This window comes from Homo sapiens, chromosome 10 (assembly GCF_000001405.40).
Source record: "Homo sapiens chromosome 10, GRCh38.p14 Primary Assembly".
NCBI classification, from domain to species: Eukaryota; Metazoa; Chordata; class Mammalia; order Primates; family Hominidae; genus Homo; species Homo sapiens.
The window spans coordinates 74697154-74711782 of NC_000010.11; the positions used below are offsets into that span (position 1 = coordinate 74697154).

General features: G+C 39.0%; 1 protein-coding gene across 11 annotated transcripts in view; it reads left to right on the forward strand.

The window, feature by feature from the left end:
- Positions 1–12137, forward strand: part of ADK (adenosine kinase) — a 558070-nt gene extending 545933 nt beyond the window's left edge. For all 11 annotated transcript variants that reach the window (NM_006721.4, NM_001369123.1, NM_001202450.2 and 8 more), the window contains one exon: positions 11168–12137. In NM_006721.4, the coding sequence (NP_006712.2) occupies positions 11168–11292 (125 nt within the window). In that variant the 3' untranslated portion in view covers positions 11293–12137. The remainder of the gene's footprint in view (positions 1–11167) is intronic.

Here is a 14629-nt window from a genome sequence, read left to right on the forward strand (position 1 = left end):
GAAGATAAAAATAGAGCCACTGACATGTATTTGTACTGTATCTTTGGGAAAACAATTTCAGCGTAATATATACTTGTAAAAAGTGAATTAGTAAAACTATTCTGGCCGGGCACAGTGGCTCACACCTGTAATCCCAGCACTTTGGGAGGCTGAAGTAGAAGGATTGCTTGAGCCCAGGGGTTCAGACCAGCTGGGCCACATGGTGAGACTCCATTTCTACAAAAAATAGAAAAGTTAGTCAGGCATAGTGGCACACACCTGTAGTTCTAGCTACTCAGGAGGCTGAAGTGGGAGGATTGCTTGAGCCCAGGAGTACAAACAAAAACAAAAAAAACTTTATTCCTCCAAGTTTAAAAAGTGCAGCTTGCTTACTTGTTGACAAGCTGCTGAATATAGAATGAACAGTAATAGAGTCTACTGGGTTTTAGGTTCCAGCTACCATGAAAAACTATTAAGGAACTATAAATAGAAAAGAAAAAATGGACTCATAAAGACTTTGTTCATTTCCTTCTAAAATATCCCTAGCTTATTAAGTGTCTCCATTAAGGCTTCCGTACCCACTGACAATATTTCTTGATTCTCTGTAAATGACACTAAGAAAATTCTAGATGCTATAGCTCTTCTATAGTAACTACATGGAATAGACAGCTTAAGTTAGGAAATTACATTGCCTTTTGAGCACACCAGCAATCCTACCTCTGTGTGCTTTGAGGAAACTAGTGTAGCACCTCCTCTTTTTGTACAACTTTAACATATGTTTCAGGTCTCATGTCAAATACCAGATACAATTTGTCAATTTATTGATCACATTTTGTAACATCAGTAAAAGTCTAAATAAAATCAACCAGAAGATAATAGGCTACACCAATTGTTAATGAACAGAGGTTTATTTGGAAAGATTGTTCCAGGATTCAGAGCCAGCTAACAATAGCTCTAGGAACCCAATTTATTGTCGATGAGAGATTCTCACCTTATGCCTCGTCAGCTAGAGGACCTAAAGTCTATAACGTCTCCTAAAGCTGGGAAAAGCCTGAGAGGCCCAGGTTGATACGCCTATGTGTAACAGGATAGAGAGAAGGAACCAAAGTAAAAAGGCAACAACAACTGCCTCAGCATATGAGTTCTTGATTTGGAAAAACCTGCACTGATGGTTCTTGTTCTCTGGTGTAATGCCTCCTATGCCTGCTCTCTTGGCTGTGTTGAAAAGCATACATACAGAGCTGTGCTCTTCATTTTCAAGATGATGTACTGATAAGGACCACAAGCCAGTGGCACTGGGAAAAAGGGATCCTAAGAGACTTTTTCTTATTAAACATACATTCAAAGTCAGTTATTTAATATTTTGCTTTTTGGACTCTTGGTAAGCCCAAATCTTGTTCTAAAAAGAGCAGACTTTTTTGTTTTGTTTTGTTTTGTTTGAGATAGTGTCTCACTCTCTCTCCCATTCTGGAGTGCAGTGGAGCGATATGGCTCACTGCAGCCACAACCTCCCAGGCTTGGGTGATCCTCCCACCTCAGCCTCCTGAGTAAGTAGCTGAGACTACATGTATGTACCACCACGCCTGGCTAAATTTTTGAATTTTTTTGTAGGGACGGAATTTTGCCATGTTGCCCAGGCTGGTCTCAAACTTCTGGGCTCAAATGATCTGGGTGCCTCAGCCTCCCTAAGTACTGGGATTACAGGCATGAGCCACCAGGCCTGACTTGTTTTTGTTTTTTTGTTGTTGTTGTTGCCCAAACTAGAGTACAGTAGGCTCAATCACAGCTCACTGCAGCCTCAACCTCCCACCTCAAGCAGTCCTTCCACCTCAGCCTCCCAAGTAGCTGGGATTGCAGGTGCATGCCACCACGCCCAGCTAATTTTTTTTTTTTTTTTATGTAGAGACGAGTCTCCCTGTGTTGCCCAGGCTGGTTTCCTGGGCTCAAATGATTCTCCCATCTCAGCCTCCCAAAGTGCTCAGATTAGAGGTGAGGCATGAGCCACCCAACCTAGCCTTTTTTTTTTTTTTTTTTTTAATACCTGCAAGCCACATTTATCTGCTATAGTGTTTACCAACCACACTCTGGGGCCTGAGGCTGTGTTTCAGTGAATGAAATATTAAAAAGTACTTTGTTTACTTGCTGACACAGTACAGTATTTGTATCTATTAATAGCATATTGTTATTGTTGGTTTTTTTTTTCGAAAAACACTTTATTGGAATAATATACTTAAAATGCAGGGAACTTTTAAAAATAGAGTGAGGCCAGGCATGGTGGCTCACACCTATAATCCCAGCACTTTGGGAGGCCGAGGCAGGCGGATCACCTGCAGTCAGGAGTTCAAGACCAGCCTGGCCAACATGGTGAAACCCGTCTCTACTGAAAATACAAAAACTAGCTGGGTATAGTGGTGCATACCTGTAATCTCAGCTACTCAGGAGGCTGAAGCAGGAGAATCACTTGAACGCTGGAGGCGGAGGTTGCAGTGAGCCAAGATCACACCAGTACTCCAGCCTGGATGACAGAGGAGACTCTCAAAAACGATAATAATAATTATAAAATAGAGGGTGAAAGACCAAACATCCTATAGAAAAATAAGCAAAAGATAAAAATTAATTCACAGAGAGATTTGTTCTTTAAAGATATATAAAAAGATGTTCAGCTTCACTTAATAAGAGAAATCCAGATTAAAATTATACTGAAATATTTCTAACCCATCGGACTGGCAAAAATTCAAAAGCTGGACAGTGTACTATATTGGTGAAGTTGTGGGGAAATGGGCACTCTTACATTACTAGTAGAAATAGAAAATCCTTAAACCTCTATGAAGGAGAATCACTAATAAAACTATGTATGCATATAGTTACTCATTAACCTAGCAGTTCTACTTCTAGAATTTATCCTGAAGATACGCCCCTAATAACACAAAAATACATATGTAAAATTTTATTCATTGTAGCATTGTTTATATTTCCAAAACATTGGAAACTATGTAAATGCCCACACATAGGAGATAGATTAAACTACAGTGTATTTATACATGGAGATACTATGTAGCTGTAAAAAAGAATGAAGAAAATCTCTACCAATTGATGTATAATGATTACCAGGAGATTTTGGTCTCTGACTACAGGAGTCTCGCTCTGTCACCCAGGTTGGAGTGCAGTGGCGTGATCTCGGCTCACTGCAACCTCTGCCTCCTGGGTTCAAGCGATTCTTCTGCCTCAGCCTCCCAAGTGGCTGGGATTACAGGCACCCGCCACCACACCCGGCTAATTTTTGTATTTTTAGTAGAGACAGGATTTCACCACGTTGGCCAGGCAGGTCTCAAACTCCCGACCTCAGGTGATCCACCCGCCTCAGCCTCCCAAAGTGCTGGGATTACAGGCGTGAGCCATGGCACCCAGCCTCCAAGAGATACTTTTAAGTGGAAAAAAAGCAAAGTGTAAGAGAGCATATATAGTGTATTACCTCCTTTTGTGTTAAAACAAAAAAAAAAAGAAAAGAAAAAGAAAGAAAAGGAAGAAAATGTACATACATCTGCTTACCTTTACTAAAAGAATACAGGAAGATAAACCAGAAAACAGTGAAAGTGGTTGCTTAAAGGGATGGTGAGGAGGACATGGTAAAGAGAGTCACTCTTCTTTGAGCATATCTTTTATAGAATTTTTACTTTTAGAAACATGTTAATGTTCTACATATTTTTTAAATATTAAATCAATAAGGATAGAATGTAAGAAATGGGACTAAAACTGAAAGCAAACTGAAAAACATGAACCCAACTATTTCCAATCTTTTCTTAAGTAAAATGAGCTCCCCAAAGGGGGTAAAAAAGAGAACCAATCTAAGTTACATGCTGAACACAGTATTTGACTACACCAGAGAACAGAAAATTAACCCTAAACTCTTTTTAGTAGATTTGGATTTTTTTCTTTTAAAGTTAGGGATGAAGTGACTTGGAAACTATTTTAGATGTATTACAAAAGTGAGTAAACAAATAAATTTGTTGATATTTTTGGGAGCTAGGTTCTCACTATAAAAGAAGGAACATACAAATAATGGGATGAGGAAAGGCAAGAAAGAACCCTGTGGAGATGGACTAGAATTGGAAGTACTGGTGTCAGCTCAATTTCTAAAATAGGTCTCTGTACACATGTATACGTATACAGTTATGGATGTAAGTGTGTGTGTGTGCATGACTATGTATACATGCATACTTCCCAGCTCTGTTCATTAACATGGTCTAGAAGCAAAGAGCACAGCTGCCACCCAGATCTTGGTCTCTAATACCATTCTGTGCTAAAAAGAACCAGTTATCCTCAGATAAATGGCTGATTCCAGGGCATAGTAGAGCCCAGAACATTATGCCAGAACATAAAGAAGGGATCAAAAATAATGTGATGGCATATCCAATGACACGGGAGCCACCAGCCTGAACGGCTCCCACTGGCAAAAACTGGAATATTTTAAGGACCAAATTAATTAAGGGCTGTAAGGGATTATAAACCATTGATTTAAAAAGAATTGTGGGCCAAGCATGGTGTCTCACACCTGTAATCCCAGCACTTTGGGAGGCTGAGGTGGGCGGATCACCTTAGGTTGGGAGTCTGAGACCAGCCCGTCCAACATGGTGAAACCCTATCTCTACTCAAAATACAAAAATTAGCCAGGCATGGTGGCTCATGTAGTCCCAGCTGCTACTTGGGAGACTGAGGCAGGAGAGTCACTTGAACTGGGGAGGTGGAGGTTGCAGTGAGCTGAGATCGTACCACTGCACTCCAGCCTCGGTGACAGAGCAAGACTCCACCACACAAATAAAATAAAAATAATTGTGCATTCTTATTGATAATAAATAGATTTTAAAATAATAAATGGGAGAAGAGGTAGGCTCTTGTTTATGGTAGAATGGTGAGGGCTGACTGGTAAATGTGAAAATCATTTCACAGCTGCAGTTGGAAAATCATCACAGTATGAGTTGCTTCAGTTAAAAATTATGAGTGGATACTCAATCTGGGAGGGGGTTGGGACTTTTGATAAAGAACAGAATATTTATGTGATTTTTTTTTTTTTTTGAGATGGAGTCTCTGTCGCCTCGGCTGGAGTGCAGTGGCGTGATCTCAGCTCACTGCAACCTCTGCATCCCGGATTCAAGCGATTCTCCTGCCTCAGTTTCCCAAGTAGCTGGGACTACAGGCACCCGCCACCATGCCCAGCTAATTTTTGTATTTTTAGTAGAGACAGGGTTTCATCATATTGACCAGGCTGGTCTTGAACTCCTGACCTTGTGATCCGCCCCCCTCGGCCTCCCAAAGTGCTGAGATTACAGGCAGGAGCCACCATGGCCAGCCTAATTTGATTTGAGGATTTGCTCAGTCTGTCTTCCTTCCTTCTTTCCTTCCTTCCTTCCTTCCTTCCTTCCTTCCTTCCTTCCTTCCTTCCTCTCTCTCTCTCTGGTCTCTTTCTTTCTTTTTTCTTTTTTTTTGAGATGGAGTTTTACTCTTGTTGCCCAGGCTGGAGTGCAGTGACATGATCTCGGCTCACTGTGACCTCTGCCTCCTGAGTTCAAGCAGTTCTCCTGCCTCAGCCTCCCAAGTAGCTGGGATTACAAGCAAGTGCCATAACACCTGGCAAATTTTTGTATTTTTAGTAGAGACGAGGTTTCACCATGTTGGCCAGGCTGGTCTCAAACTCCTGACCTCATGATCTGCCTGCCTCGGACTCCCAAAGTGTTGGGATTACACGTGTGAGCCACCGTGCCTGGCCTATGTGATCTTAAATTGTCTATTCACAAACTGCTTGTTAGATGCAAGGGAAAAAATAGGTACTATACAATGGAGAAGTAGGACAACACCTTGATCAGGTGGTCAGAATTCCTATCACCAGTGCACAGCAGATGGACATGATGTGCCTCTAAATGTGACACTTTGAGAAGGATCCATCATAATGTGTGTAGTAGTCTGCCTGGGTGTGCATAGTCTGAACTTAATCATGAGAAAATATTAGACAAATCCAAAATTAGAATCAGTCTATTAAAAATGGGAAAATAAATAAGTAATGGGATAAGCGCGTCAGACACAGTGGCTCACACCTGTAATCCCAGCACTTTAGGAGGCTGAGGCGGGTGGATTGCTTGAGTCCAGGAGTTCGAGACCAGCCTGGGCAACATGACAAAACCCCATCTACTAAAAGTACAAAAAAATTAGCCAGGCGTTGTGGTGTGCACCTGTGGTCCCAGCTACCCGGGAGGCAGAGGTAGGAGAATCACCTGAGCCTAGGGAGTTGAGGCTGCAGTGAGCCAAAAAAAATTATGCCACTGCACTCCAGCCTGGGCAATCAGAGTAAGACCCTGTCTCAAATAAATAACAAATAAATTAAAAATGAGGTGAGGTAAGTTATGACTATATTCTTCAAAAATGTCCGTATCTCAAAAGTCAAAATCTGAGGAAATGTTCCAGATTTTTAAAAACTATAAAGATACCACAGTTAAATCCTGAACTAGACTCTGTTCCAGAGGAGAAAATTTCCATAAAGGATATTATTGGGTAATTGACTAAATTGAAATATGGACAGTAGATTAGATAACAGTGTTACTGAAGTTGATGTTGATGTCCACACTGTAGCTATGTAAGAGAATATCCTTATTCTCAGAAAAGATACACTGAAGTTTTCAGAAGTAAAAAGACATTGTAAATGTAACTTCCTCTCAAATAGTTCAGGGAAATAAAATTGTATGCAGAGAAAGAGTACATGCAAATGGTGCAAAATGTTAACAATATTGTGCACCTGGGTAGATGATATGCAGATGCTTTTTGTACTATTTTTATTCCTGCAACTTTTTTCTGAATTTGGAATCCTTTTCAAATAAAATACATTTTAAGCAGGCTAATAATTAAAAATCTAAACTAAGATTATATTGGGAAACATTATGCTAAGTGAAATAAGCTAGACACAAAAAGACAAATATTGTATGATCTCACTTATATGAGGTACCTAGAATAGGCAAATTTATAGAGACAAAAGTAGAGTAGCAGTTACCAGGGGCTAGAAGTAAAGAGGAGTGGGGAGTTATTGTTTAATGGGTACAGAGTTTCTTTTGGGGTGATGAAAAACTTCTAAAAATGCATAGAGGTAGTAGTTGCACATTGTGAATGTACTTAATGTCACTGAATTGTGCATTTAAAATTTGTTAAAATAGTAAATTTTATGTTACGTATATTTTTCAAAATAAAAAAGTATCTTGGGGATGTTTACTTCCATTATAAAAGGATTCCCTACAATTATTTAAATATAAGCTCCCTTTGTTTATTTAAACAATTTTATACAGCTTTCAAGATTCACATCAGATACTTTTTGAAGATTCCACTTATAACTGATTATGTAGTATCTGTATTTCATTTTAGTTGGTTTTTAAAAATAGATTATTGAAAAACTGACATTCACCTTGGGCAAAGGTCTTAGCTTTTTTCAGCATCCAGGTTCTCCACTTGTCAAAGCAAAAGATTCTTCAGAATACTTCATTCATCATCTAGTTCTCTTAGAAAAAGGATGCTGGTGGTTTTGCTTCACAAAAATATTTCATAAACATGAGCTTTTTCTTTTTCTCACAATGATCATACCAGGCGGAATGAAGAAAACAGATGTTGCTTATAAGGCGTCTAATAGACATGTTTGCATTGTAAGCTGATCTGACTCTGAATTTGGCATCTGCTCCATTCACTGTGTGGACTGAGCATTTTCGCCTCACAGTTTGGCAGAAAAGTTAATATTGACTTTTGACTGTTACCTGAAAACTTGGTGATAAAATACTCTTACTAAACCTCTTGAGAGAGTGATTTTACAGTCTCAGCAAATGTCTTTAAAATACATCATTCTATTAACCATTTTAATTTTATTCTTTGGTTGGGAATACTTATTTGTTTCATCTAATACAGAGCATTCCCCAAATCTGACTGGGAAAAGTCTGTGTGGTCAGAATGGTAGAAGAAGGAGGACATAAATCACTTATAATGTTCTCTACAGGTCATTATACCACAGCTTCTCAATTAACCTTCATCCCCCTCAGGCTGCCCAGGGCCTCAGGGAAGGCCCAGAAGCCTAGCTGCAGCACAGTTTCTCATTATTATCTGCTCTTCTGAGTATTTGAGTGTTAACTGCAGCAGCTCAGCAGCTCAGGTTTCCCCTAAGGGGAAGGTAGCCCAGATTCTTCTGCTCTTGACCTGTCTTATTTGCAATTATCCTTTTTTTCTTTTTTCACAGTTTTATTGTGGCATAATAGACATACAATAAACGGTATGAATCTAAAGTTTACAATTGTATAACTTTGGACATATGTGTACACCCATGAAACCATCACTATGGACATATCCACTGCTCCCATGGCCTTTTCTAATCATGCCTTCCTGCTCCTTCTCATCCCCTTTTGGATTGTTTCCAGTTTGGGGCTATTACAAATAAAGCTGCTGTGAACATTCATTTACAAGTCTTTGTGTGGATATGTGCTTTCACCTACCTTGGGTAAATACCTAGAAATAGAACGGATCATATGATATGCACATGTTTAGCTTTTTAAGACTGACAGATGGTTTGGGAAAGTGGTCTTAGCATTTTACATTCCCACAATTAGTGTGTGAGAGTTCCAGTTGATCACACCCTTGCCAACACTTGTTATAGTCAGTCTTTTCAGTTTTAGCCATTCTGCGAGTGTGCAGTGGTATCTAATTGTGATTTTAATTTGCATTTCTTTAATGAATAATGATATTGAACATTTTTTCATTTGCTTATTTGGCATCTATCTTCTTTGCTAAAATGTTAAATACTTTTGCCTACTTTGTGTTGAGTTGTTTCTTGTTATTGAGGTACCAAGTATTTAATTGTGACAAAGTTCAGATTATTTTTTCTTCTATAAAAGTTGCATTCTTAGCCAAGTGTGGTAACTTATACATGTAATCCCAGTGCTTTGGGAGGCCAAGGCGGGCAGATTACTTGAGCCCAAGAGTTCAAGACCAACCTGAGCATCTCTACAAAAAAATGCAAGAATTAGAGGAAAGCTGAGGTGGGAGAAGAGCTTCAGCCCAGAAGGTCGAGGCTGCAGTGAGCCATGAGTGTGCCACTGCACTCCAGCCTGGGTGATAGTGAGACACTGTCTCAAAAATAAATAAATTTTTAAAAAAGAAAAGTTCATACTTTTTACCTCTTACTAAGTGATCTTTAGCAAACCCAAGATCACTAAGATTTTCTTCTATGTTTTCTCCTCAAGAGTTTTAGGATTTTATTCCTTACATTTATGTCTGTGATTCATTTCAAGTGAATTTTTGTAGATAGTGTAAGGTAAAGGTTGAAATGCTTTTTTTTCACACAATTTGTTAAAGTGTCCTTTCTTGATGGGATTGTTTGGGCACCTGTGTCAAAAATCAGTTGGCTATACAGAAGTAGGTTTATTTCTGGACTCTGTTCAGTTCCATTGATCTATTTGTCTATATGCTAATACCATAGTGTCTTGGTTATTATCATTCTATAATAAATTTTGAAATCAGGTAGTATAAATCCTCTGGCTTTGTTCTTCTTTTTCAAAGTTGAGTTTTTGCTAACCTAGGTCCTTTGAATTTCCATATAAATTTTAGAAGCAGCTTGTCAGTTTCTATAAGAAAAATCTGCTAGAATTTTTATTAGTATTCCAATGAATTAATAGAAAAATTCCTGCAGAACTGATAATATTGAATCTTCTGACCTTTGAACACTTTATGTCTATTTATTTAGGCTTCTTTTATATTTCTCAGCATTGTTTTGTCATTTTCAATGTGCAGGCCCTACACAACTTCTGTCAGATTTATTCTAAGGTACTTCAAATATTTGAAGTATGTGAAGTACCTTAGAATAAATATGGATAAATATTCTTAACTTTTTAATCAATTTTTGTTTTTGAGACAGGGTCCTACTCTGTTACCCAGGTTGGGGTGCAGTGATATGATCATAGCTAACCACAGCCGCAACCTTCCAGGCTTAAGCAATCCTCTCACCTCAGCCTCCTGAGTAGCTAGGTCTACAGGCATGCACCAACATGCATGGCTAATTTTTGTATTTTTTGTAGAGACAGGATTTCGCCATGTTGCTCATGCTGGTCTCAAACTCCTGAGCTCAAGCAATTCACCCATCTTGGCCTCTCAGAGTGCTGGGATTATAGGCATGAGCCACGATGCCTGGCTTATTCTTAGTAACTTCTAATTGTTCATTGCTCGTATGTATAATTATATATACACATTACCAGTATAGATAATTTACTTTTGTATTTTTAGTAGAGACGGTGTTTCACCATGTTGATTTTGAGACCCTATCAACATATGCTTCCCTGGCTGGGTGTGGTGGCTCACGCCTGTAATCCCAGCACTTTGGGAGGCCAAGGCAGGCGGATCACCTGAGGTCAGGAGTTTGAGAACAGCCTGGCCAACATGGTGAAACCCCATCTCTACTAAAAATACAAAAATTAGCTGGGCGTGATGGAAGGCACCTGTAATCCCAGCTACTCGGGAGCCTGAGGCAGAAGAATGGCTTGAACCTGGGAGGCAGAGATTGCAGTGGGCCAGGATCATGCCATTGCACTCCAGCCTGGGCAACAAGAGTGGAACTCCACCTCAAAAAAAAAAAAAAAAAGGAAGACCAGATTGACTTGATGGCAAGTTGTTGTGTCTCAACTTGAGCTCTTTAGAATAAATATTAGGGGAAGCTCATGATGTTTGGGAAAAGATCTCCCGACCGGGCACAGTGGCTCAACACCTGTAATCCCAGGCCAAGGCAGGCAGATCACGAGGTCAGGAGTTTAAGACCAGCCTGGCCAGCATGGTGAAACCCCATCTCTACTGAAACTACAAGAATTAGCTAGGCATGGTGGTGCATGCCTGTAGTCCCAGCTATTCAGGAGGCTGAGGCAGGAGAATTGCTTGAACCTGGGAGGCGGAGGTTGCAGTGGCCAAGATGATGCCACTGTACTCCAGCCTGCGTGACAGGGCAAGACTCCATCTCGGGGAAAAAAAAAAAAAAAAAGACCTCCCTAACGGTAACGCACAAGACTTTCTCTTACTGTCAAGGCTGAAGAATGAGACAGGTGCTTAGATCATATATTGGTCTGACCCAATATGACATTTCTGCTGCTGTTATACAATACTCATGTGTTTTTTTTTGCCTGTGTTCTAGGTTTTCTGTCTCAACTGGTCTCTGACAAGCCTCTGACTGAATGTATCCGTGCTGGCCACTATGCAGCAAGCATCATAATTAGACGGACTGGCTGCACCTTTCCTGAGAAGCCAGACTTCCACTGATGGAAGAGCTGAAAACACAAGCCCAGGAGTGCAGACACTGCCCTAATTGCTTCCTGAGAATTCCCATATTAATAAAGAAGAAAATTATCTGCCATTTTTTCCTACTATAATAATGCTGAATCTTAATTTAGAGGGTACAAGGGTATGGTAATGCTTGTAGAATCTTTATTATCTCAACAATCTAAAAAATGATGTTTATTTCCATAGTTTGATAGTGCCACTTAAATGCCAATTAAACAAGAATATAACATTTCAATAGAAATTTTTATTTCATTTTCAATTACTTTGTAAATTCGTGTGTATTTAGTACACTGATTTGTTTTTTTACATTTCTGCTTTGAATGCAGATGCAATTTAATATAATAGATTTTTTAATGAATTAATCTTAACATAGTAATCTTTAGCTTTTTATACAAATATATTTAATTTAGGAGTATATGTGTGTCTATACACACACATACATAAATATACCACATATACACCTGATAGTCAAATAAGGTACAGAAATTTTATCTTGTCAATTATGCCAAATAATCTCTTTAATGTGCACTCAAACATGTAATAAACTTTGGATAATTAAATAATGTGCCAAATTTAAGTTGTACCACAATATTCAAATCATAGTCTTATGGAACTCTGTAATTGGACACAAACAAAAACTTGTCATATAGGAATTTTTTTCTGTCTTTTCCCTGTGTACAGCAAACTGAGGAAGAAAGATCATTATTTAATACTGGGCCCTGAAATGACACCCAATTTGTTAATGGAATTATGAAGAACAGCAATATAATACACTGAAGAATAACTTAGTATCAGAGACCAATAAATCACTTTTTTAAGGATGACAAAATGGTATAATTGGACTTCTGGAGTCAGACTTTATATGACCTTAGGTAAATCTTCGAACCTCAGTTTCCTTTTTGTAAAATGAGATAATAACCCTTACATAGAAGGTCATTGAGATGATTTGAGCGAGATTACCAAGTATAAGATATTTGTTATAATGCCTTGTAAATGCTTTATAAGTAGCTGCTGTTATTATCATTATGATTATTTTCTTTTTGAAGAAAAAAAGATAATGTTTGTAAAACTGAATTCAAATCATAGGAAAGGATTTGGCCAGGCGCTGCAGCTCATGCTTGTAATCCCAACACTTTGGGAGGCCAAGGTGGGAGGATCACTTGAGCCCAGGAGTTCAAGACCAGCCTGGGTAACAAAGTGAGGCCCCACCTCTACAAAAAAATTTTTAAATTATCCAGCCACAGGCTGGGCACAGTGGCTTACACCTGTAATTCCACCACTTTGGGATGAGGCAGGTATCACTAGAGGTCAAGAGTTCAAGACCAGCCTGGCCGCCATGTTGGTGAAACTCCATCTCTATTAAAAATACAAAAATTAGCCAGGCATGGTGGTGGATACCTGTAATTCCAGCTACTTGGGAGGCTGACACAGGAGAATTGCTTGAACCCAGGAGGCGGAGGTTGCAGTGAGGCAAGATCACACCACTGCACTCCACCCTGAGCAATAGAGTGAGACTCCATCTCAAAAAAAAAAAAAAATTACCTGTGGTGGTTTGCACTTATAGCTACTCGGGAGGCTGAGTTGGGAGGATCACTTGAGCCCAGGAGTCTGAGGCTACAGTGAGCCATGATCACACCCATGTACTCCAGCCTGGGCAACAGAGCAAGACCTTGTCTCAAATAAATAAATATATAAAGTCAAAAACTTGTATGTTGAACTATAGAAAGTTGAGTACTATCTGTAGTGCAATTAATTTAAATATAAAGTAATTTGATATTTTACAGTGGTGCCAAAGTGATCCAATGGGGAAAGGAAAATCTTTTCAACAGATGATGCTATAAAAACTTGATATTCATAAGGAAAAAAATGAATCTTTGACCCTGATCTCATACCATACAAAAAATTAGAGATAAAACATGGTCACAACATAACAGCTAAAACTATTAGACTTAAAGAAGAAAACAGGGGAATATTTTCACAAGTTGGGGTAAGCAAAAGTCCTTGGAAAGAACCATGAGAGCATGAGAGCACTAACCATATAACAAAAATATTGATAAATTAGATTTCAAAAAATTAGAACTTTATGTTCATCAAAAGATACCATTAAGATACCCCATAGGCCAGGATACAATAATCACAACACATATATCTGAACTTATATTCAGAATGTATCTTAATACTCTTACAACTCAAAAATACAGATACTTTACAAAAGAAGATATATGAATCACTAAGAAGTACATGATAAAGTATTCAACATTGTTATCATGGGAGAAATGAATGTTAAGACCTCATTGAGAATACTACTACACTAGAATGACTAAAATTAAAATGACAACACCAAATGTTGGAGAGGACATGGAGCAACATTGCCGATGGACTGAACAACCACTGAACATTGCTGATGTAAACTGAACAACCACTTTGGGAAAAGGCCCTCAAGTTTTTCATAAAAAAGTAAACATACACCTATTCGTTCATCCAGTTGTTTCACTTCTGTGTATTTACCCAACGGAAGTGAAAGTATATGTCCGCCAAAGGACTTGCAGCAGTTTTATTCATCATTGCCAAAAACTGGAAAGGGATAGTTGTCCATCAACAGGAGAGCAGATAAACTGATATATTCAAACAGTGGAATAATACTTAGCAAAAGATGACCGAGTGTGATGGCCCATGCCTGTAATCCCAGCAATTTGGGAGCCTGATGTGGGAGGATCACTTGAGCCCAGGAGTTAAGACCAGCCTGGACAATATAGTGAGGACCCCATCTCTACAGAGAAAAAGCAAAATTATCTGGGCATGGTGATGCACACCTGTATTAGCTACCCAGGAGGCTGAGGTAGGAGAATTGCTTGAGCCCAGAAGGTCAAGACTGCAGTGAGCCATGACTGGGTCACTGCACTCTAACCTGGGTGACAGACGGAGACCCTGTCCCAAAAAGAAAAAATAGCAAAAGGAAGAAATTAACTGCTGATAAAACAACATGAATCAGTTCAACAATAAAAAAAACCTTACTGAGTTAAACCAGATACAAAAGCATACAAACTGCGAGATTCTATGTATTTGAAAGTCTAGAACAAGCAAAACCAACCTATAGTGAAAAAGAGCAGTGGTTGCCTTTGTAGGGGAGGAGGAAAGTGGAAACTGACTAGAAAGGGTCGTGAGGGGACTTTCTGAACTGATGATGATATGCCGCATCGTAATAGGATTACACAGTTACATGCATTTGTCAATGCTCAGGAAATAGCCCACTTAAGTTGTGATTTCATTATATTTAGGTTTTACGTCACACACACAAAAAGAATTATAGGCTGGC